Source organism: Homo sapiens, chromosome 6, assembly GCF_000001405.40.
Source record: "Homo sapiens chromosome 6, GRCh38.p14 Primary Assembly".
Lineage (NCBI taxonomy): Eukaryota > Metazoa > Chordata > Mammalia > Primates > Hominidae > Homo > Homo sapiens.
Window position 1 is genome coordinate 35,117,038 of NC_000006.12, and position 25,011 is coordinate 35,142,048.

General features: G+C 42.8%; 1 protein-coding gene across 25 annotated transcripts; it reads right to left on the bottom strand.

Moving 5' to 3' along the window:
• Window positions 1-1,037: 1,037 nt before the first annotated feature.
• Window positions 1,038-24,302, bottom strand: TCP11 (t-complex 11). Of its 25 annotated transcripts, none has more exons than NM_001366331.2 (11): window positions 24,168-24,302; window positions 23,710-23,847; window positions 19,070-19,181; window positions 12,025-12,145; window positions 5,080-5,300; window positions 4,122-4,260; window positions 3,872-4,008; window positions 3,392-3,609; window positions 3,122-3,303; window positions 2,191-2,354; window positions 1,038-1,464 (listed from the first exon to the last, which is right to left on the bottom strand). In NM_001366331.2, exons 7-11 carry the CDS (start codon window positions 3,981-3,983, stop codon window positions 1,232-1,234), a joined length of 909 nt encoding a protein of 302 aa, NP_001353260.1. In that variant the 5' UTR covers window positions 3,984-4,008; window positions 4,122-4,260; window positions 5,080-5,300; window positions 12,025-12,145; window positions 19,070-19,181; window positions 23,710-23,847; window positions 24,168-24,302; the 3' UTR covers window positions 1,038-1,231. The 25 variants fall into 25 exon arrangements, 23 of the variants coding, with proteins under 23 accessions (NP_001353260.1, NP_001248750.1, NP_001248749.1 ...); NM_001261821.2 differs by lacking the exon at window positions 4,122-4,260 and adding an exon at window positions 22,983-23,188 and having other exon boundaries at window positions 19,070-19,166; NM_001261820.2 differs by lacking the exon at window positions 4,122-4,260 and adding an exon at window positions 22,983-23,188.
• Window positions 24,303-25,011: the final 709 nt, after the last annotated feature.

Genomic DNA, 25,011 nt, shown 5'->3' on the forward strand with positions numbered 1-25,011 from the left:
CTAAAAAAGGAAATCAATTAGAAGGAAACACTGGGCCTAATGGAACTCAAATCCCCCTTCTGTTGTTCTTCCTAGATTAGGTGTGTTAACACTCAGCAACTTCCATCACCTAAAATGATGAGAACATTGTTTTTCTTCACCTTGCCTTGAGAACACATAATTGAATTTCCATTTTCTAAATCTGAACTGAACATTTTCTTCATTTCAGCCATACTAGGTTGGAGCTGGTCTGCTGCAGTCAGCCTGAAAATGAGTTGGTCTCTACAATCTCAGGAGACAAGCCCAAATCCTTCCTAGAACCTCTCTTATTTGTGATGCCAACAACAGCTTACAACCACAACTGCCCAGAATGGAGAAGCCAGAAGGATGGAGGCTGCTCCACCTCTGAATGCCCACATCACCTCTGCCTGGAAAAACCGGGTGTTCTAAGCTTAGAGATGAGGGAAAGGAGACTTACTGGGCTAGAGAACAGGACCAGAATAAACTTGATACAAGTGAGTCACAGACCTAACTGTCCAAGTCTGAACTCTGGATAACTTGAGAGAGAGGTCCCATGAACTCTGAACTTGTCCTCAACAGAATGCTTGCTTGTAGCCAATATCCATTTTCATCCAGCCCCGGGTATGCATATTGCTTCAGACCATGCAACAGAAGAGGAAACTAAGGCTCTTAATATCCCTTGACTTCTTGTTGCATTCTCTGAAACCTTTAGGGAAATTTGGTCCTAGAAATGAACTAACTTCCCTAAACCATGTCCTCTCCTGAGGTGAACTGGACAAAACAAAGGCTTCCAAAAGAAACCCTTATATTCACAATTTGGATAATTCCAGAGGTCTAAGAGCTCCCCAGGAGTAATGCTTTACCCTTAAAGAAAATAAGGCTAGCACCTGGGTATCTTGGCTGTTCAGCTCTATATGTTGAAAGGTACACATAGCCAGAGAGGGGAAAACTGAGGGCTTGCTGGCTTCTCAGCTAGTTGAGGGCTGAAGTCATTAGGGCTTGGCCTCAGCTGCAGCACAGGAAAAATGGAGGATTTCTTGCACTTAAGAAGTTTATTAATGAATGGGTATGGACCAGTTGGTGTTTACATGCTTGATCCCTACAGCCTTGGTGTACTGGCTGCAGGGCCTGGGATAGAAGCTCACTGTCTGCTGGTCACTGGTGATGTTACTCCAGGAAGATGATGGGCCTCCTCTTGGGTCCAAGGTACCAGGGCTCTGAGCCGACGCTATCAAACAGACTCCACTTTTGTTTCCAGTGCCTGGGCTGGGGAAATGAGGGTTTTTAGGATCTCAGTGTAGTAGGGACCAAACACCTGCTGATTGTGATGTGTCAAGTTGACAAACTTTTGGCCCAGTTCTGCCAGTTCTGCTTCAATGAGAGTAAGGCCTCCAGGAAGGTCTAATAGAGACCGCTGCACACCAAGAACCAAACAGCATTTGAGAAACAAATGGATCCGCTGATCTGTGAGCAGGAAAAGACACTGATAAGGGAAAAGGCAAACAGATTTCAGGGAGAAAATTCCCCCTGCACTCTACTCACCCATGTTCTAAGTTAACAGATATGTACCAACCTGCCCCCCTACCTAGAGATAATGAAATTTGTTTTGTTTGGAAAGGGGGCTGCTATCTTGCTCTCAAGGACAAATATAAAAAACTAGTGTGTTAGTAAATTTCAGATTATTCAAAAGATTGTTTAAGTAGCCATCAGTTAGATCCTAGTGAGTGTTTGACATAACAGGAGGAACTTAGACTGATCCTTCAGATGGCTAAGGTTAGGAGCAGGCTGGCCAAGTTCATGGCCTCCACTCCAGCATGAGGGTAGGGGATTCCCCACTATAGGAACATGTCTTCCAGCTAAATTCAGCATTAGTTTCTTGTTGGGAGATGGGGGAATGTCAGATTTCTTGGGTGCCATCAGAGAATGACCTGTAGGCCCAAGTGACTTAACCAGGTCGGCTGGACATATCCCACACCTAGAAGTCATGAATTTCTGGGTGCAAATCATCCTGAGAACCACAGTTAGTCTTTAAACTGAGACGGATATGATTTCAACCCAGCATTTTGAAAAAAATCAAGGCTAAACAATGACGTACCTAATGACCATGCTTCATGTTGTTAAAGGTTGGGGTTCCACGGTTGGGATCTATCTCTTCCCTCACCATTCTTACTACCCCACAAGCATACTCACCAATAACACTGCAGACACAGTTCTCCTTCTTGGCAATGTTCTGGAGCTGTCCCATTAGAGATGCTGTATTATCACTGCTTAGAGCAACAAGGCCCATATTCTTGAGGCTTTGATGGATTTCCTGAGATACCTGTTCACTCACAGTCAGTATAGCTTCCTCAGGCCTAGACCATGAAAGAAAGTAAGCTGGCACCCACCAGGTAACCCTGGCATAGGCCCAGGGCCCAGCATGCTGTATACCAGATGCCAGGCCCACTTGAGGGAGAATGTCAGCCACCCTCTCCACCCCTAAACCCCAGCCCCTGGCAGGCTATAGGGCCCAGTGGGTAGGTACAATGTCCTCACTGTAACCCTCAAGACACCAGCTATTCTCTATATGTGGCACTGTGTTCTACTTCTTAGCAAACAAGGTAAATGATAAAATCAACTCTGGAAAAGTATTTAGTTGTGCTCTTGGATCCACTCAGCATTCTTTAGTCCCATGGACTTTATTTTTATATATATATGTTTAAGACTTTCTTAGGCATTTTCCAGAATCATCTGTCCCACCTCATCAGTTATAACTACAACCTGGCCTTCTGATTCCTCTTTTTCCTTTGGTGTGATGGCCTGCACACAGCGGGATGTTCAATAAATATTGCTGACCGACTGACCAAGTCCTGGATATATGTGATGATACCAGCCCACAGTCACCACTCAACTAGATAATGACCCTTTTGCAGCAAACTATCTTCCACACCCTTTTTGGAAGAAAGGTTTTTTTTTGTTACACCCTCATGACCACTTATGGAAAGAAACCAACAATCTTTGTAGATGGTTCCACAGGGCCTTTCTGTGGTTTGTGGTAGACAGTAAGCAATCGTTCATTACCTGCCTATGTTCTAAATACCACATATCACCTTCTACTCTAAAAAGTAACTATGCAGCTCACCTGGAGTGAAAGTCTTCCAACAAGGATTTGGTTATGCGTTTCAGTTTATCTACAAATTGGGGTGAGCCAAACAAAACACTGCCGGAGAAACTACTGGCCACCAGCAAGACTGAGGCCATGACGGTTAACTGGTGCAACTGGGACTTCAGCTCCTGCAGCCGGGTTCTGTCCATCAGCAGGGTCTGGGAACCAGGGAAGAACAGGCTGTCAGGGGAAGTCCCGATGGAAGCCCTGAACACAAAACAAGGCAATGCCCCCAGACATTCCTACCTCAGGGAACTCTTCATTTTCAAGGTCCCAGAGAAGGAGGTTCAAGAAGCCCTGACACAGCACCATTGTGGGGCTGAGGGGCTCTGGGTTGTTGGCTGCCTCATTGGGAGAGGGGCCAGCCACACTGGAGGAGTCAGAAGTGTCTGGGCAAGTCGGAGGTGACATGGTGAGGTCTCCTGCTGCTTGGGTCAGCCATTTGGTGGTGTGATTAAGGAGACCTATGACAGGTAAGGGAGTGTGTAAGCATCTTTAGCATCTTCATCTCTGAGGCTTCAAGACCAAGGTTCTTTTCAAGTATACTCCTGGTCAATAAATAAATGCTTTGAGGGTCTTTCTGTCTTAGATAAATGTTCCTTCTCCCTCCCTTCACCTAATAAGCAACTTTCTATTCCTAAAAAGAGATAGAGTACTCTCTAACATTATAAAAGTCAGACCCAAGGTAATACCTTTCCCACTCCTGCCCTCACATTATATACATACTAGGCTGCTTATTGAGGAGTTCCTGGAATTTAGCCCGTTCATACTGAATGGAATGTTCCTGCAGGTGGGGTTGAAGGCTCTGGATAGTGTAGTTCACCATGTCCATTTTCATCCGGCCCAGAACCTGGAAGATCCCTCTGACACAGGGGGAAAGAGAATATTTATACTACTAAGCTAGAAACCCACCCAAGGAGTCATTAAATCACTGTATTTTAGAGTTAGGAGGGGCTTAAGACTAACTTAGTCTTACCTCCTACATTTTCAGAAGATAACATGTGGCCCAGAACCCAATACCCAGGGTGAGTCAGTGGCAGAATTGGGAACAGCTAAGTCTCTGGACCTTGAAGCCTTCAGTCTAGATCTCCTTCACTATGGTCATTCTGTTGCCTCTTAAAAAGGGTAGTCAGTGGAAAGAAATACACCAGCATGCTAACAATTCTCTTCAGGAAGTAGGATTATAGGTGATGCTATTTCTGACTCACTGGACCAACTGCTTTTTTTTTTTTTTTTTTAAACTTTCTGGGTCTTGGTTCCTAGAGTTGTGAAATACGGATGACCACTCATCACTGTCTCCTCATAGTGTGTGAACCGAAAGAAGAGAAAACCTGGGAAAGGGCCCGAGGGCTGGGCAAGGTCGCTCATGCCTGTAATCCCAGCACTTTGGGAGGCCGAGGTGGGTGAATCACCTGAGGTCAGGAGTTTGAGACCAGCCTGGCCAACATGGTGAAACTTTGTCTCTATTAAAAATACAAAAGTTAGCCAGGTGTGGTGGTGTGCACCTGTAGTCCCAGCTACTCGGGAGGCTGAGGCAGGAGAATCGCTTGAACCCAGGAGGCACAGGTTGCAGTGAGCTGAGATCTCACTGCTGTACCTGGGCAACAAGAGTGAAACTCCATCTCAAAAAAAAAGAAAGAAAAAAAAAAACCTGGGAAAGGGATGTTTTAACTCCTTAAAAGAAAGAAGTATGTACTGTAGTGTCTTATGGTATTACAGAGGGGGGGCCCAATCAAGCTAAGGATAACCAAAAGGCCCTGTGGGGCCATCTTTGGAAAAGAAGAGTGAATTGACCAGAGGGGAGAAAAAGGGTGTTAGTCAGGTCTTTAGCAGGGAAGAGCTGGTCAAGACGATGGCTATAATCTAGGTCTGGCCCAGCTTTTCCGGGCTCAGGGGCTAAAGCAGGTTTTTGGGGGCAGTATCAAGTTTCATACCTCAGTAGCCAAACAGGATCCGTAATGTTTTCTAGTTTCTGCACTGCTTCATCTCGAACTGGTGCACACAGCAAAGCCATCATGTTGAGAACGTACTTAGAGAGATAGAGGACTTTCAGGGCCCCATGTTCTGCCTCCTGCTTGAGCAAGTCCATGTCCAGAGCTTCTTCAATCTCAATTCTCAGGCGGTTCTGGCGTGGTAATAGCAGTGATAGCAAGATCTGCCCAGGAAAGAAAGTCAAAGGAGTTGATCTGTTTAGATCCCCAAACTTTATCCAATGGGCAATCCCTTTAGCTAAAGACATACCAGCCTATGTTTTTTAAGGATCAAGAAGTTGGGTCCCTAAATTTCCCATGGAATATTATTTATCTTTGTTTAGAGGCCGGTGACAATTCAAGGATCAAGGGGATCAATTACAGGAATAGTATATCATTTTCTAGGCAGAATGAGATATAGAGATGAATAAAATCAAGGAGTGTGGTAAAAAGACATACGGGGTACAACAAATATAAAATACCCACCATCACATGGTGATGACGTCTCTTAACTTTAAAAGGGAGGCATTTTTTAGATTATTTTACTTCAAAGGGCAAGGATGAAATAGGCATAGGAGCTGTTGCAAGTCACTGAAATAGCCTATTAACCCCCAAAATAAGTTCATGGTAAACAGGGACTCTTATTCATCCCCTGCCTCTGTAACACACAGGACATGGTGGGGGCCTAGGGTATAGGATTCAATGAATATTTAATTGAATAGAATATGGTGTTGTCATAGCAAGATCTCAACTGTTTACCTTCATGTTAAACAAATAAAATCAAAGTTGCTCCATACTATCTACTTTAATTGCCAAACTCTGCCAGTTACCAATTTGGAGCCTCTCAGCTCCAAATCTACCCTTCAGTGCCTACTCTGCAAAAACGGAGCTGGGCCCTTGAATTATTTTTCCTTTGCTAGCTGACACAATGTTAGATTTTTGTCAAAAGAGGGTGGTAAAAAGAAACTGCAAGAGAAAAGGGCCTTCCTTCTTGGCTCTGGTATGCTCCTCTCAGCAAGCTCCTGCATTGTGGAAGCTTCTTTGTTCAAATTACTGCATGGTTTCTGCCTCTTGATTGGCTCTGACTGGTAAAAAGTTGAGTGAGGTTTGATGACCAGCAAGTTTCAAGTACTTTAGATGCCTTAAACACATGCAAACTTGAGGATAGCAGATGATCTCCACAAAAATTCAGGGGCCTGTCACCTCAGTAAAGTTTCTAGAGTTTCAGTGGTCAGGAGCTTTTCAAGTGATATCCTCCAAGGTGAAGGACAAATTGCTGTACCTGAACCACCCACCATTAAAAAAAAGGCATAACACTTAGTAGGCCTTTTATAATATTTTTTTTCTTTTGAGACAGAGTTTCAATCTGTTGCTCAGGCTGAAGTGCAGTGGCATGATCATGGCCTCCAACTCCTGAGCCCAAGTGATCCTCCCACCTCAGCCTCCTGAGTAGCTAGGACTACAGGCACATGTCACCATGTCCAGCTTAGTTTTCTTTCTTTTTTTTTTTTTTTTTGGAGAGATGGGGTCTCGCTGTGTTGCCAGGCTGGCCTCAAATTCCTGGTCTCAATCTATCCTCCTGCCTTGGCCTCCCAAAGTGCTGGGATTATAATCATAAGCCACTACACCTGGTCCTCCTTTTTGGATTCTTTTGAGACAGAGTCTCACTCTGTTGCCCAGGCTGGAGTGTAGTAGCATGATCACAGCTCACTGCAGCCTCAACCTCCTGGGCTCAAGTGATCCTCCCACCTCAACCTCCTAAGTAGCTGGAACTACAGGTATGACCACCATGCCCAGCTAATTAAAAAGATTTTTTTTTTTCTAGAGATGGAGGTCTTGCTGTGTTGTCCCTGCTGGTCTTGAACTCCTGGGCTCAAGAAACTTACCCTCCTTGGCCTCTCAAAGTGCTAGAATTACAGGCCTGAGCCACCACAGCCAGCCCCTTTTCGGATTTTTGAGGCAACATGCACCACATTTGTGTTTGCTACTTTGACATTCATTTGAGTGATTTTGATTTATTTAGAATCACTCGAGGTTACCCATATGTCGTGGGGGATGGGGGAGTGCTAACTAACTAGAGCAAGAGTAGGCTCTGCAGCAAGTTTAGACTGTAGTACAAGCCACTCTACCATTTGGGCCTTATGATCCTGCAGATCCAATGACACTTTAAGTGTCCATAGCAAATAAGGGTGCTGTACAGAATGTCTTGCAAGCACCAATAAGGGAACCACACATGGACCTTTAGGAATTGGGAGCAAATCTATTCCTTCTTTAATGATAATTATTCACCTTTTGAGAAACAACTTCTTGGGCCTTGGTAGAAAGTAAACACCTTACTATAGAACACTGGGTAACCATGTGGCCTAAGCTTCCCATCAGGAATTAGGTATTGTCTAACTTACGTAGCTACAAGACTGGACATGCACAGCAGCAATCTATTATCAAATGAAAATGGCTTATAAGAGACCAAGCATATACTGGTAATAAGAACAGATACACAGACCAAAAGAATAGAGAGCTGATAAATAAAACCTGGATATATAAGGTCAAATGATTTTCAACAACAATGCCAAGAACCAATGGGGAAAGGACAGTCTTTTCAACAAATGGTGCTGGGAAAACAGGATATTCACATGCAAAAGAACAAAGTTGGACCTTTACCTTACCCCCATATAAAAATATTAATTCAGTTGTGCACATGTACCCTAAAACTTAAAGTATAATAAAAAATATATATATATATTAATTCAAAATGGTAGTGGCTCACGTCTGTAATCCCAGCACTTTGGGAGGTCGAGGCAGGCGGATCACCTGAGGTCAGGAGTTTGAGACCAGCCTGAGCAAAATGGTGAAACCCCATCTCTACTAAAAATACAAAAAATTAGCCGGGCGTGATAGTGCACACTTGTAATCCAGCTACTACTTGGGAGGCTGAGGTGGGAGAATAGCTTGAACCAGGGAGGCAGAGATTGCAGTGGCCAAGATCGCACCACTGCACTACAGCCTGGGTGACAGAGCAAGACTCTGTCTCAAAAAAAAAAAAAAAAGAAAGAAAAAAGAAAAAAAGGACCTAAACATAAGAGCTAAAACTACAAAACTCTTTGGAGAAAACATAGGTGTAAATATTCATGATCTAGGATTTGGCAGGATTTGACACCAAAAGCATAAAATTCAATAAAAGACAATCCAATTTAAAAATGGACAAAGTACCTGAGTAAACATTTCTTTGAAGAAGATGTACAAATAGCCAACAAACACACGAACAGATGCTCAATATCACTAGCCATTAAGAGAAATGCAAGTCAATGAGATACCACTTCACACCCATTAGAATGGCCATTACCAAAAATGGAAAACAGCAAATGCTGGCTAGGATGTGGAGAAATTGGAACCCTGGTACATTGCTGGTAGGAATATAAAATGGTGTGGCTACAACAGAAAACAGTTTGGCAGTTCCTCAAAAAGTTAAACATAGAATTACCATAGGATCCAACAATTCCAACTTTAGGTATATACCCAGAAAAATTAAAAGCAGGGACTCAAATATATACTTGTACACAAGGTTTACAGCAGCATTATTTACAATAGCCAAAAGGCATAAAGAACCTAAACGTCCATCAACAGATGTATGAACAAAATGTATTCTATCCATATAATAAGAATATTATTCAGCCATAAAAAGGAATTACATTCTGATATATGCTACAATATGGATGGACCTTTAAAACATTACACTAAGTTAAACAAGTCCAAAACTAAAAGGACAAATATTGTATTCCATTTATAAGTACCTAGAGTAGTCAAATTCATAGAGACAGAAAGTACAGGTGCTAGTGGGAGAGGGGAAAGGGAAATTATTGTTTAATGAGTACAAAATTTCTGTTAGGGAAGATTCAAAGGTTCTGGAAATGGATAGTGGTGATGGTTATATTGTAAATATACTTAATGCCAGTGAACTGTAACACTAAAAAATAGTAAATTTTGTTATGAATATTTTGCCACAACAAAAACAAATCCTAAAAAAAATTAAATAAATTTTTTAAAGCCCCCAATATGGCCCATTCCCCAGGGAGGATCAGTCAGCCATCTTATGGCAGATGATTTCACTGGACCTCTAACAGTTTAGAGAGGGCGAGATTCATCCTTACTGGGATAGACACATATTCTGGATATGGAGTTGTCTTCCCTGTTTGCCATGCTTCTGTCAGTACCAGCATCCAGATAATCACAGAATGCCTTATCAGCTGTCCTGGGTCTTTGCCTACTCCATTGCATTGCATCTGCTCAAGGAACTCATTTCACAGCAAAGGAAATGCAGTGAATTCATACCTACTAAATTAACTGGTCTGACCAAAAAGCTTTCACTGAGAATCAGCTGGCCCTAACTAAAAAGTAGAATGGCTTATTTTAGACTCAATTACAGCATTAGGTGAGCAACAATACCTGAAAGGAAGGGAATTGGTCTTACAGGATGCAATATATGCTTTGAATCAAAGACTTTTTTTTTTTTTTTTTTTTTTTTTTGAGACAGGGTTTTGCTCTGTTGCCCAGGTTGGGGCACAGTGACACAATCATGGCTCACTGCAACCTGTGCCTCTCAGGCTCCAGCAATCCTTCCGTGTCAGTCTCCTGAGTAGCTGGGAATAGAGGCATGTACCACCACACCCAGTTAATTTTTCTATTTTTTGTAGAGATGGGTTTCACCACATTACCCAAGCTGGCCTCAAATTCCTAGACTCAAGCATTCTGCCCACCTGAGCCTCCCAGAGTGTTGAGATTACAGGTGTGAGCCACTGTGCCTGGCTTCAAAGACCATTCTATGGTGCTGTCCCCTAATGCCAGAATACATGGGTCCAGGAATCAAGCAGTAGAAGTAGGACTGCTTCCTCTTACTAGCACACCTGATAACCCACTTGCAGGATTTTTGTTTCCCATCCTGCCAACTTTGAGGTCTGCTGATTTGTGTGAAATACTTGCATTGGTTCCAATGAAACAGAAGATGAAACTGACCATTGGGGGCTCCTTATACCACTGAACCAAAAGGGTAAAAAAAGGAGTTACTGTACTGGATGCCGTACTTGCTCCTGAGTACCAATGAGAAATTGGATTGTGGCCACACAATGGGGGTAAGAAAGACCATGCCTGAAACTCAGGAGATTCTCTGAGTTGCCTCTTAGTACTTCCAAGCTCAATATTAAAGGTTAATGGAAAACCACAACAAACAAAGCAAAATGTCTCAGACTCTTTGGCAATGAAGGTTTGGGTCACTGCACCAGATAAAGAACCCCAACTAGCTGAAGTTCTGGCCAAGGACAAGGGAAATATGGAATGAATGAATCGTGGAAGAAGGAAGCCATAGATAACAACTATAGCCTTGTGACCAGTTATGGAAACAAGGACTATAAATTTTATCTTTGCTTATTATATGTATGTTTATTTATATATGCCAACATTTTGTTCTTCCTCTTTCTTTCCATTGTTATTTTATATACAAGTTGTTAGAAGTTAAATTTTATGATTTAGCCTTTAGGTAACACAATAGTCAGTGAAACTGGCTGAATTTGAGGAGCGGCCAGTGATGGATACAATAACTATTTGGGCCATGTCTCCTCATTTTGGGGGAGGATAAATAATAAATAGCTATCTGTCTTGTAAGAGTTCTTTTCAGGAATTCAAATGTGTATAGAAGAGCGCATGTGGAAACTGAGTAGCCGAAGGGGTGGACTGTGCCATTTATCAATATATTGCCTCACAGATCCAAATCCATTGTTCTTTGCTCTGTGAAAATGGAACTAAGTCCTTTCCATATCTTTCCTTTGCCAGATAGCACATTTTAAGCTTCACCGGCAGAAAGTGTTATTTAGTTTTCTGTGCTGTGTAACATACTGCCATAATCCTAGCAGCTTATAAGAACACACATTTATGATCTCAGTTACTGTGGGTCAGAAGTACAGACGCAGTTTAGCTGGGTCCTCTGTTCAGGGTCTCACAAGTCTGCAAGCAAAGTGTTAGCTGGGCTGCATTCTCATTTGGAAACATGACTGGGAAAGATTCCGTTTCCAAGCTCATTCAGATTGTTGGCAGAATTCATTTCCTCACAACTGTATACTTGAGGGCCCCAGCTTCTTACTGGCTATTGTCTGGATGCTAACCCCGGGTCCTAGAAGCCACCTGCAGCTCCTTGCTATGTGGCCCTCTCGATAGGCAGTTCACAACACAGCTGTTTGCTTCTTCAGGGCCAGCAGGAGAATCTCTCCCTCCAGTCTCCTAAGACAGAGTATTACATGATGAAATGTAATCATGGGAGTTATATCCCATCACTTTTGCCGTACTGCTTAGAAGTTGCAAATCTCATCCACTCAAGGGGAGAAGATTATACAAGGGTGCAGAACATTGTGGGTCACCTTACGGTATGTCTGCCACATACTAGAAAGACATTGCAAAGGCAAGAGCTTTTATTCCCGGTTCTGGTATGTTCACTCAGCAGGCTCCTGCAGTACTTGGCTCCTGCAGCATGAATAGCTTCTCCAGTGCTTGGTTCCTGCAGTGCACTGTGGTCAGCAGCATACACAGGCCAGTAACGTCTCATGGCATAGCTATGCCCTCTCAAATGAGGTCCTTGGTTGGCCTCTCTCAGCCCTAAGGGTATGATAGATGCCCTTTTATCTGATATTCAAGGATTCTTTAGTTTTCCTTACTCTTACTAGCCAAGCCCTCATTTCTCCTACTCTCTGTTATAATAATTTTTATATTAAACCCTCCCTGCTAAAATTACTGTATGATTTCTGTCTATTGCTTAGTCTCTGACTGATTCATGGACCATGTTCAGTTAAGATTTGCTAGCCACTGACACTCCAATGAGCTGGAGATGTCTAGAAACTTTACATTTACAAATGGAAGGTCACTCACCTCTTTAATTTCTTTCAGAAGTTCAAGAGCACAGCTGAAGTCAGGGGGAGTTGCTGATAGTTGCTCTTTAAGATGGTCCCAAAAGGCATTGTGCACTGTCTCCTTGACCTTGCCTTCCAGACTATAAGAGGGTTAAATGAGCAGATTACTCTCTCAACCCAAAAACAGTTACAGTGTCATAACCTCCTAAACCCCAAACTGAATTTGATATGGTAAAAGGCCATTATAATAACAGGGAAAGGCCAGGAACTATGTTGGAACTGCAGCAGAGTTGAACAAGCTAGGGTTAGATTTGTATTTCAAGGGCAATGGCAAAACCTCTCAGAAGGGCTCCTTGTGGTTCCAGAGCAGCCCTCTCTCTGCAGTAGAAAGAACCCTGAATGGAGAGAAGTCAGGCTGACTTTTAGCACTGACTGTGCATCTAGCCTAGATAACTTGATTTCCATTTGTGTATACACATAGCATTGAGCTAAATGATCTTTCATTTTCTTATACTCCTGAAATCTAGGAAAGGATATTGCTTCTTTGAAAATACCAAAGGTCCACAGATATTTCCAAATCAGCGTATCTAAAACTAAATTCATTATCTTCCTCCTCCAAACCTGCTCCTCTTGTATTCCCAATTTCAGTGGCACTACCATCTATATAGTAATGGAAGCCAGAAAGAAGTCTTTTTTTTCACCTTGAAAAAAATACAAGGAGCAAAGGAAATTTGTTTTATTTTATTTTTTGAGACAGGGTCTCACTCTGTTGCTCAGGTTGGAATGCGATGGCACAATCAAGGCTCACTGAAGCCTCAACCTCCCACGCGCAAGCAAATCTCTTGCCCCTGCCTCCTGAGTAGCTGGGACCACAGGCATGAGCCACCGTGCCAGCTAATTTTTTTATTTTTTTATTTTTAGTAGAGATGGGGGTCCCGCTATGTTGCTCGGGCTGGTCTTGAACTCCAGGGCTCAAGAAATCCACTTGCCTCTGCCTTCCAAAGTGCTGAGATTACAGACGTGAGCCACTGCACCCAGCCAAGGCAATTCAATTTAGAAATGAGGGTCTTTCAACAAATAATGTTGGAACAACTAGATATCTAAATACAAAAAAATAAAGAATCTAAACACAAGCCTTAAACTCTTCACAAAAGTTAACTCAAAATGGATCACAGACCTACTTGTAAAATACAAAACTGTAAAACTTGTAGAAGATAACATAGGAGGAAATATAGGTAACCTTGAGTTTGGTGATGACCTTTTAGATACAATGCCAAAAACATAATCCACAAAAGAAAAAATTGCTAAGTTGGACTTCATTAAAATTAAAAACTTCTGCTCTGTGAAAGACACTGTTAAGAGAACAAAAAAACAAGACACACACTAGGAAACAATCTTTGAAAAATATATATCTGATAAGGATATATATCCAAAACATACAAAGAACTCTTAAAACGCAACAATAGGAAAATGAACAACCATTAAAAAATAGGCCAAAGACCTTAACAGACATCTCACCAAAGAGGATGTTCAGATGGCAAATAAGTATATGAGAAGACGCTCAACATCATTTGTCATTTGGGAGTTGCAAATTAAAACAACAAAAAGAAAAAAAAAAGACACCGCTATATGACACCTATTAGAATGGCCAAAATCAGAAAACTGACAACACTAATGGCTGACCAGGATATAGAGAAATAGGAACTCACATTCACTGCTGGTCAGATGTAAATGGTACAACCAGTTTGGAAGGCAGCTGGGCAGTTTCTTACAAAAGTAAATATACTCTTACATATGATCTGGCTATCACGCTCCTGGGTATATACCAAAATGAGTTGAAAGCTTATGTTCACACGAAAACCTGCACACAAATGTTTATAGCAGCTTTATTCATAAGTGCCAAAACTTAGAAGCAACAAAAATGTCCTTCAACTGATAAATAAACTGCCCATAAAATGGAATATTATTCAATGATAAAAAAATGATTTGGGAGGCTGAGGCAGGTGGATTACTTGAGGTCAGGGGTTCAAGACCAGCCTGACCAACATGGTGAAAACCTATCTCTACTAAAAATACAAAAATTAGCTGGGTGTAGTGGTGTACGTCTGTAATCCCAGCTACACAGGAGGCTGAGGCAGGAGAATCGCTTGAACCCAGGAGGCAGAGGTTGCAGTGAGCCAAGATTGTGCCACTACACTCCAGCCTGGGCAACAGAGCGAGACTCCATCTCAAAACAAAAAGAAGGCCGGGCGCGGTGGCTCATGCCTATAATCCCAGCACTTTGGGGGGCCGAGGCGGGCGGATCACCTGAGGCCAGGAGTTCGAGACCGGCCTGGCCAATATGGCAAAACCCTGTCTCTGCTAAAAATACAAATATTAGCAGGGTGTGGTGGCACACACCTATAATCCCAGCTACTTGGGAGGCTGAGGCAGGAGAATCACTTGAAACTGAGAGGCGGAGGTTGCAGTGAGCCGAGATTGTGCCACCGCACTCCAGCCTGGGTGACACAGCAAAACTCCATCTCAAAAACAAACAAACAAACAAAAAAACACAATGAAAAAGAAAAGAAAAATAAGCCATCAAGCCACAAAAAAACATAAAGGAAACTTAAATGAAATTACTAAGTGAAACAACTAATCGGAACAGGGTCCATACTGTATGATTCCAACAATATGACTTCCTGGAAAAGTCCTCCTGAGCAGCGGGGTTTACAGCTGCCTCATTTTTAAAAAATGTTTAGTACAGACAGAGTTTTGCCATGTTGGCCAGGCTGGTCTCCAACTCCTAGTTGCAAGTGATCCACTCGCCTCGGCCTCCCAAAATGCTGGGATTACAGGGATGAACCACCGTGCCTGGCCCCCTCCTACCATCATCTCTTACAATTAACTAGTCTCCCTGCCTCTAGTCTTGTTCCTTTATAATCTGTTTTCCACACTGCCACCAATTCACTCTAAAAACAATGCTGTTTCTCAGATGCCATATTCAACATGATGTAATGCTTATTTAAAGTCCTTCGGGGGCTCCCCCATCACCAGCAAGATAAATGGCTTATGTTACCTTATATCATACTGCTCTGGCCTCTCTTTCCAATGTATTTTCTTCTACCTTGTAACACCTTGGGCTCAGCCATTGCAAGTCGCTTGTAAAGAACATACCATGTTCTACCACCATTCTCTGCCTCTGACATGTTGTCACCACTACCTGGTGCAACCTTTCACACCAAGACCACCTGGAAAGCACTTATTCAACATCCAAGACTCAAGTCTTCATAGGCCTAACCTTCCTCTGTAGGCAAATCTTCCCTGATCTTCCACAGGTAGCTGAACACTCTCATTAAACTCTATATATGCATAGCTACAAGTGAACTTATCAGTCTAATCAGTCATTTTCTATTATTCAACTGTCTCCCCTACAAAAGTTTCTTGACAGCAAAAACTGCCTTATCTATATCTCTATCCTTAGCACCCAGCATTTTGCCTGTGACATAATAAGGACTCAATAAATGCCTGGTAAATGAATATCTGAGAATGAAATTTCCCTTAGGAGCCTACAACTGTAATTAACATCATCCTATGAACCTAAGGTAAAGCCAACTGCCAATAATGAGTAACCTCAAACAATTTCAGCCTTTTTCCCGACATAATTTTTTATATCACCATACCTGGAAACCCAGTTCTGAATACTACTATTTCTCCGGCTTCATTTCTCCCTCTCTCGTTTCTTCTACCTGCCATACCCCTCTATCCCTCCATACGCCTGCAACTCCCTCACCACCACCCTATCACAGACCTCATTCTCCCAGTTTCAGTTTTCTCTCCTCCCCTGTGAGCAACAAACATCTCTAAACAGTGAGAGAGAAGCTGAGAGACCTGAGTTTGGTGAAAACCTGTTCCCAGCATGGAAACTTGCTAACATCAGTCAAGAACAAATCAAAGAAGCATGAAGACCAGAGGAGCAACATGTGATGGAGAAAGGCCCTTTAGTAACAGATACCCCACAATGGCCCTCTGACAAAAGCATTTAAGGACGCAAATGAATCACGAGTTGTTATTATTTGTCTTTTGGTGGAAAATTAGAACAATTTTATTTTTCAATTGTTTTTTCTTTTCTCAGCCTCATCTGTGATACAATATTTACAATCTTTTTTTTTAGAGACAGAGTCTTGCTCTGTTGCCTGGGCTGGAGTGCAGTAGCACTATCACAGCTTACTGCAGCCTTGACCTCCCAGGCTCAAGTAATCCTTCCACCCCAGTCTCCTGCATAGCTAGGACTACAGGCGTGCACCACCACATTTTGCTAATTAAAAAAAAATTTTTTTTTGTAGAGACGAGGTCTCACTATGTTGCCCAGGTTAGTCTTGAACTCTTGACCTCAAGCGATCCTCCCACCTCAGCCTCCCAAAGTGCCGGGATTACAGGCATGAGCCACTGTGCCTGACCAAGAACTGTTTTAAAATATAAAATCTGGGCCAGGTGTGGTGGCTCACGCCTGTAATCCTGGCACTTTGGGAGGCCAAGGCGGGTGGATCACGAGGTCAAGAGATCGAGACCACCCTGGCCAACATGGTGAAACCCCACCTCTGCTAAAAATACAAAAATTAACTGGGCATGGTGGCGCACACCTGTAGTCCCAGCTACTCAGGAGGCTGAGGCAAGAGAATCGCTTGAACCCGGGAGGCTGAGGTTGCAGCAAGCTGAGATCGCGCCACTGCACACCCCAGCTTGGCGACAAAGCGAGATTTCATCTCAGAAAAAAAAAAAAATCTGACACTGAAATTTACCCACTTAATTGTCAATAAACCAGCAGAGCCAATTCAATTCATACTTACTGAATGGTTCTTCTTTACCACAATGTCAATATAACTAAGAATAATACAAATAAAGCCTGGTGTGGGTATGGAAGCATTCTTTATCAACAGTGTTCAGATTTTGATAAATAAGCTGAGTTATGAAGCTGGGGGAAAAAAAATCCCAAGAGTCAAAACACCACTAACAGAAAATCTTTATCTGTGCCTGTTTAGTATGAAGCCACTTAAAAGGGTAGCTGATAGGAGCTATATGGTAGGCAGCTGACAAGATAACCCCAAAGATCTCTGCTTCCTGATACAGTCATCCCTTGGTATCCAAGAGGGATTGGTTCCAGGATCCCCCTCGGAAATTCATGGATGCTCAAGTCCCTGATACAAAATGGCATAGTATCGCATATAACCTATGCACATCCACCCATAAGCTTTTTTTTTTTTTTTTTTTTTGGTTTTGTTTTGAGATGGAGTCTCAAAACAGGCTGGAGTGCAGTGGCGTGATCTTGGCTCACTGCAACCTCTGCCTCCTGGGTTCAAGCAATTCTCCTGCCTCAGCCTCCTGAGTAGCTGAGACTACAGGCTCGCACCACCATGCCTGGCTAATTTTTGTATTCTCAGTAGAGACAGGGTTTCACCATGTTGGCCAGGATGGTCTTGATCTCTTGACCTCGTGATCCACCCGCCTTTGCCTCCCAAAGTGCTAGGATTACAGGCGTGAGCCACTGCGCCTGGCCCCATAAACTTTAAATCATCCCTAGATTACTTAAATATCTAATTCAATGTAAACGCTATGTAAGTAGTTGTTATACCATATTGGTTTTTAATTTTGTATTATTTTGTATTTTTTATTATTGTGTTATTTTTTATTTTTCTAATATTTTCTATATGCACTTGGTTGAATTCACGGGATGCAGAGCCCACAGATATAAGGGCCAACTGTATTCACATCTTTGTGGAAACCTCTTCCCTTGAGGGTGGGCAGGATGTAATGACTCATTTATAGCAAACAGAATGTAGCAGAAGCGGGCCGGGTACGGTGGCTCACGCCTGTAATGCCAGCACTTTGGGAGGACAAGGCGGATCACCTGAGGTTGGGTGTTCGAGACCAGACTGACCAACATGGAGAAACCCCATCTCCACTAAAAATACAAAATTAGCTAGGCGTGGTGGTGCATGCCTGTAATCCCAGCTACTTGGGAGGCTGAGGCAGGATAATTGCTTGAACCTGGGAGGCAGAGGTTGCAGTGAGCCGAGATCGCGCCATTGCACTCCAGCCTGGGCAACAAGAGCAAAACTCCATCTCAAAAAAAAAAAAAAAAGAATGTAGCAGAAACAATGGGATGTCACTTCTGAGATCAGGTAACAAAAAGACTGGCTTCTGTCATGGGCACCATCTCTCACACACACTCTTGTTCTCTCCCTTGGAGGAAAGCCAGCTGCCATGTTTAGTATACATATATACACCATGTTTAGTATATAATATATAGTACATTATATATAGCTGCCCTATAGTAAATTCCATGTGGCAAATTGAGGGAGCCTCTGGCCAAGAGTCAGCAGACTGACTACAACTCATGAAAGACTATAAGCCCGAGGTATACAGTTAAACCATGCCCATATCTCTCATCCACAGAAACTGTGACATAATGAATATTATTTTGCTGGGCACAGTGGCTCATGCCTGTAATCCCAGCACTTTGGGAAGCTGAGGTGGGAGGACTGCTTGAGCCTAGGAGTTCAAGACAACCCTGGGCAACACAGTGAGACCCCATCTCTAAAAAAAAAAAAAAAAAAATCGAAAAATGAGGTAGGAGGATCACTTGAGCCCAGGAGGCCATGACCATACTACTGCATACCTGCCTAGGTAACAGAGTGAGACCCTGCCTCCAAAAAAATAAAAACAACCAAAACGGAAAAATGAAATGTTATTTTAAGCTGCTAAATTTTGGGGTAATTTGTTATGCAGCAGCAGATAGTACTACAGGCTGCTTCCTCCAAGTTTGTCAGAGATCTGAAATCCACCATATTTATTCCAACAAGTGTTGCTTTGGTTTATTTGTTGACTAAGTAACATTTGCTTCTTGGCCTTCTTTGGTACTAATAATTACAACTTAGTACTCTTCTGTTTAAGTTGTTGAGACCTCTCAAGTTTAAATACTCATTGTATCATTAAATAAAAATGCTTCAAGTCTGATCTGAAGCCATCAGTGCTAAGTACCTAAGCCAGGATGAGCAACATGAAGAAAGAAGAAGAGTCTATACCTGCTTGGAGGTAAAACCTTCTCTTCCATGTAGTAATCACAATTCATCCCAATCTTGTTGCTCAGCTTGGAAACTTCATTAACGGTTTCTGTCAGACCTGTGACAGAAAGAACTGATGGTGGACAACAATGAGCCCATGCAAGTCTGAATTTCTATTTTATTCAGAGATTCACTCAATCTAGTAGGCCCCAAATTTAGATTAATCAAACTGGTCTTACACAGACTCACCCAACTATTCTAGTGATTTATGTTTTCTGCACTCTATGCCCCACGACAGTGCTAGAAACTTTCAGAATAGTAGTCTAACACTGGGGGAAGGCAGGACAAATAGCTAGTTTATAAAAAAAAGCAGGAAGTGAAACAGATGAAAAACTTTTCTCTTAAAAAGTAAAATCGTATTTATAGCAGCAAAGAAACAATAATTTGAAATTTGCAAAAATAAACATTCATCTAAGTATTAAGGTTCCACGTTCCTTTTCCTGTCTCTGATGCTATACATGATGAAAGCTAAACTCTCCCTACAGATAATACTCAGATGTTACTGAATAGTGCCAAAGTCATTTGGTCTTCTAAAGCGGTAGTTCTCAGATTTTAGGAATTCACAGACTAATAAAATTTCTGAAAATATTTTAAGCAACTGAAAACAACTTGCCAACTTTTTGTTTTGCCTAGTATGGACAGTGAAACAAGCAAATAAAAATCATCTACCACCACCAAAATCATCATTTCATCAAAGAAAAGATAGCTTAACCTCTGAAAAAAACCAGAAAGGAAATATTGTCAAAATAAACAGCAGTCCCTTAAATGGAATTAACTTTAGGAAAACTCATTACAATATCTTTATGATTTCATTTCACTAAATAGTGCTAAGAATTTTGTCACAGACCAGCATGGGTATTTGGCAACCACTGTTCTAAGTTTTTAACAAATAGCTAGTTTATAAAAAAAAGCAGGAAGTGAAACAGATGAAAAACTTTTCTCTTAAAAAGTAAAATCGTATTTATAGCAGCAAAGAAACAATAATTTGAAATTTGCAAAAATAAACATTTATCTAAGTATTAAGGTTCCACGTTCCTTTTCCTGTCTCTGATGCTATACATGATGAAAGCTAAACTCTCCCTACAGATAATACTCAGATGTTACTGAATAGTGCCAAAGTCATTTGGTCTTCTAAAGCGGTAGTTCTCAGATTTTAGGAATTCACAGACTAATAAAATTTCTGAAAATATTTTAAGCAACTGAAAACAACTTGCCAACTTTTTGTTTTGCCTAGTATGGACAGTGAAACAAGCAAATAAAAATCATCTACCACCACCAAAATCATCATTTCATCAAAGAAAAGATAGCTTAACCTCTGAAAAAAACCAGAAAGGAAATATTGTCAAAATAAACAGCAGTCCCTTAAATGGAATTAACTTTAGGAAAACTCATTACAATATCTTTATGATTTCATTTCACTAAATAGTGCTAAGAATTTTGTCACAGACCAGCATGGGTATTTGGCAACCACTGTTCTAAGTTTTTAGTGCAGACCTATAGTACAGCTGATAGCATTCACACATAATAGGTATATATGGTAGTTACAATGATTACGTGGTGTATAAAATGCAGCCGTATACAATAAATCATATTTTATCACTCTCTTTTGATGCAGCATCATGATTTTTCACAGAAAATTATTTGGCTCCAAGATGTGGAGGAGATGTAGATGAACAAAGATTGGCCACGAGTTGATCATTGTTGAAGCTGGATGATGGATAAATGGGGGCTCATTGTATTAGTCATTCTATTTCATAAATGTATAATTTTTCTATAGTAAAAAGATTTGAAAATGTAAAAAGGAAAAATAAGGTTACTGTAGAAAAGTTACACAGGAGAATGCCCCTGTTCTTAGATACATGATGAAATATTTAGAGGTAAAGTCATGACTTTGTATCTCACCCCAGTTAAAATGGCTTTTATCCAAAACTCAGGCAATAACAAACGCTGGTGAGGATGTGGAGGAAAGGGAACCCTCATACACTGTTGGTGGGAATGTAAATTAGTACAGCCACTATGGAGAATAGTTTGGAGGTTCCTCAAAAACCTAAAAATAGAGCTACCACATGATCCAGCAATCCCACTGCTGGGTATATACCCAAAAGAAAGGAAATCAATCTATCGAAGAGATATCTGCACTCCCATGTTTATTTCAGCACTATTTATGATAGCCAAGATTTGGAAGCAACCTGTGTCCATCAACAGACAAATGGTAGATATACACAATGGAGTGCTATTCAGCCAAAAACAAAAAAACAACACAAGATCTTGTTATCCGCAACAACGCAGATGGAACAGGAGGTCATTATGTTAAGTGAATTAAGCCAGGCACAGAAAGAAAAACTTCACATGTTCTCACTTATTTGTGGGAGCTAAAAATTAAAACAATTGAACTCATGTAGATAGAGAATAGAATGACAGATAACCAGAGGCTGGGAAGGGTAGTTGGGTGGGGGGTTGGGGGGTTGCAGGGAAGCACAGATGGTTAATGGGTACAAAAAATAGAATGAATAAGATCTAGTATTTGAGAGAACAGAATGACTGTAGTCAACAATAATTTAGTTGCACATTTTAAAATAACTAAAAGAGTATAATTGGATTGTTTGTAACACAAAGGATAAATCCTTGAGATGATGTGTACCGCATTTACCCTGATGTGATTATTACACATTGTATGCCTGTATCAAAATATCCCATATACCTGATAAATATACACACCTACTATGTACCCACAAAAATTTAAAAATTAAAAGAAGTCAAGGCCAGGTGCTGTGGCTCTTGCCTATAATCCCAGCACTTTGGGAGGCTAAGGCAGGCAGATCACCTGAGGTCAGGAGTTCGAGACCAGCCTGGCCGACATGGTGAAACCCCGTCTCTCCTAAAAATACAAAAATTAGCTGGGCATGGTGGCACATGCTTATAATCCCAGCTACTCAGGAGGCTAAGGCAGGAGAATCGCTTGAACCCAGGAGGTGGAGGTTGCAGTGAGCCGAGATCGCACCATTGCACTCTAGCCTGGGTGACAGAGACTCCGTCTCAAAAAACAGCTAGTTTATAAAAAAAAAAAAACCCATCAACAACAACAAAAATTAAAAGAAGTCAAGACGTTGCAATTTTAAAAGGCAGGAGGGGGAAATACAGGGAGAGAGAAAAAGCAATACGGCAGAATATTAACACTGTGGGCATTCACTGTATTATTTTTTACTTTCCAGCAGACTTACGATATTTAAAAATAAAAAGTTAAGGAGATTGTAGACCTTTACCAAAAATCCACTGAGTCTCTGCTTAGGTAAACATGAAGGTGAACTGGACCTTAAGTGGACGCTTGAGGTTCCCTTTATTTCTGCAGCCTCTCTGAAGTCTTTAGTTTCAGCCAAAATGGCAAAACACAATCAAATATGTAAACAGACTCACTGCTAATTCACTAATGCTAAATGAGAGCTAAGAGAAAATCTTCAGAAGGGGATTGAACTACAGCAGCTTATTGAGGGACGGAGGGAAATATACACAGAAACACTTTCCAACTACAACAAATCAAAGTTCATAGCCTGCCTTGATAAGACTTCTGTTGCTCAAAAGTTACACAGCACTAAGCAATTCCAAAACAGCTCTAAAATTCAGGAATGAGGAGAGCTCAAAGAGAAATTAGAGATAAAATTTAACCGAAATAGATTTTAAAAATCCAGATCCCAAGGACAAAGACATTTTCAAGTAATATAACAACCAAGTCAACCTAATACACAAAATTTCAAATTTTTTTAAAAAGGAATTTGATTATTCATTTTACTGAGAGTTGTTTTATATATGGACTCATTTAAATAGACACCTCAAAAACTTAAATTGTGTGTACAAAAAAACGGATTTTTCATCCTACCTCAGGTTCATAGCTGTTGGAAATGACCCCAATATGCCTTTTGGTGCCATTCAGTTAACCAGCAGCGACCTCATGTGGCCACAAGAAAAACCAATCTAATTCAGCCGCAAAGCCTCAATCTAATTTTTCGCATTTCAATAGTCAAGAATTTTATCTTGAGTTGTTGCACACGGACAGCTCCTCAGTTTGATGACTAGTTACGTTCTCTGGAGATTAAGAGAAATACAGCATGAGTCCCAGTGAGACTGGACCTACCACGAAGCGCGGAGAAGACCTTGTGCCCCAACAAGAACACAAAAGAACACCCACTACAGAACCGAGCTAGAGACTGGGCCCAGGACACTACTATTTCTTGAGTTAGCAAAGCGCTGAGAAAACCCAATTCCCGTCTGGGATCATTTGGGTTCTTTAAAATCAATCCCAGATCTATCTGCCAATCCCCCCTACATATTCAAAATACAATACAAAGGAGGGCTTTGAACCGACTCAGTCTCAAATCTTGTCAGATTCAAGTAATCACGCTTGGGTCACTTCTTTCTCTAGAACCAAAAACTCTTTGAAGACCTCTGCCCTCGGGCCTGTAAGTAAAGGCGGGTGGGGGAGAAACGGAGAAAGACAAACGAGAGAGGGATAGTGAAGAGAGAAAACTTGGGGGATGGGGGGGCCTGCGGACCCCCCACACTAAGCACCCCCTAGGGGGCCACAGGGACTGCCGAGCTGGACCTACAGGGAGGGGGGTCCTCGGAGCCGCTCTTGTCTTCCTGGGGGGGTCCTGAGGTTTCGGGCTTACAGGACCTGCCCTCTGAGTCGCCAGGATATTTCGGGGGCACACTCTCCTTGACGTCTGGCATTTTGCTGATGGTATCTGGGTGAGGGAGAAAGGCGTGTTGTTGGCGTCGGGGAAGGGGCCTCCCCAATTGCCAAGGGGGTCCCTGGGGGCGGCGGGAAGGGGGGTAGCGGCCTCAGGGTCTTGGGGGTGCTGAGGGGCAGAAAGGGGCAAAGGAGCGTGGAGGAGCGGAAGTCGAGAGTGGGACAGAAGTGGAGCGCTGGGCGGCAACGAGGAAACTAAAGCCACAGAAGCCCGGCGCAGGGCGGGAAGCGTGGGAAGGCCCCTTCCTTCGCGGCGAGGTGCCCCCCTCGCCCGAAACGCCGGCCCAGGCCCGCCTCCGGCTCCCAGGCCGTCACCTCCTCCTCCCCCGCCGCGGGTCATCCACTGGCGTCCGCTCGGTGGGCCTCGCGGCCTGGCGGCCTGGAGCGTACCACCGCGGCGGAGCGGCGGGTTGGGGCGTCGCACGGTGAGAAAGGCCGGGGCCTGAGAACAAACCGCCGCGGTCGCCGGGGCAACGGGACGGGGCACGTGCCCCCCCCGCCAGAGCCGGAAGCGGCAGGCTCGTGCGTCCCTCCTGAGCTCGAAGCCAACCAGGCCTCGAGCGGCTCGCTGCGGCCGGTTCATGCCGGTCAGCTCCCGCCCCTCGAGAAGGATGGCCTGGAACTGCTGAGACGAGGCCAGAGCATGCATGGGGCTTTTCTTCAGGCTGTTTGGACAGCCGAGAAGCCGAGCCACACCCAGGAGGGTTGTTTCACAGCGTGTGCCGCAGGGGCGCAGGGGCCGCGCTCTTTCCTCACATGTGGGAGAAGCGGAGGAGCCGCCAGGGCTGGGGCCAGGCTCTGCCCACTGGGGTTCCGCCCGTTGTCGCCCTCCGCCTCCTGGGCTCTAGCCCTTGCCTTTCTTGACTCTAAGTCTACTCTGTCGCCCTTGCAGTGATGTGAAGACCTGGAGTGCCCCTGCCTGAGAAAATAGAAAGGAAGCGTTTCCTCTTCACCTGCTCCCGTCTCTCTTTATTACTGTGTCATGACTTCTTACCATAAAAGTGTACAGTAACAAAACAAAACAAAAGATGAAAGTATTATGGTAAGAATCCGGGCGCGGTGGCTGACACCTGAGTCCAGCAGATCTCCTGTCAGGAGTTCGAGTCCAGCCTGGCCAACATGGTGAAACCCCGACTCTACTAAAAATACAAAAATTAGC

Bases quoted from the DNA above. Each gene is read 5' to 3' on its own strand.
- TCP11 (NM_001370687.1), bottom strand. From the start codon at position 23,833: ATGCCAGACGTCAAGGAGAGTGTGCCCCCGAAATATCCTGGCGACTCA. The intron at 5,301-12,024 runs GTGAGTGACCTT...TTTCCTGGGCAG, and splicing joins TTCTGAAAGAAATTAAAGAG to ATCTTGCTATCACTGCTATT. The intron at 3,610-3,871 runs GTATGTATATAA...TACCTGTCATAG, and splicing joins ACTCCTCAATAAGCAGCCTA to GTCTCCTTAATCACACCACC.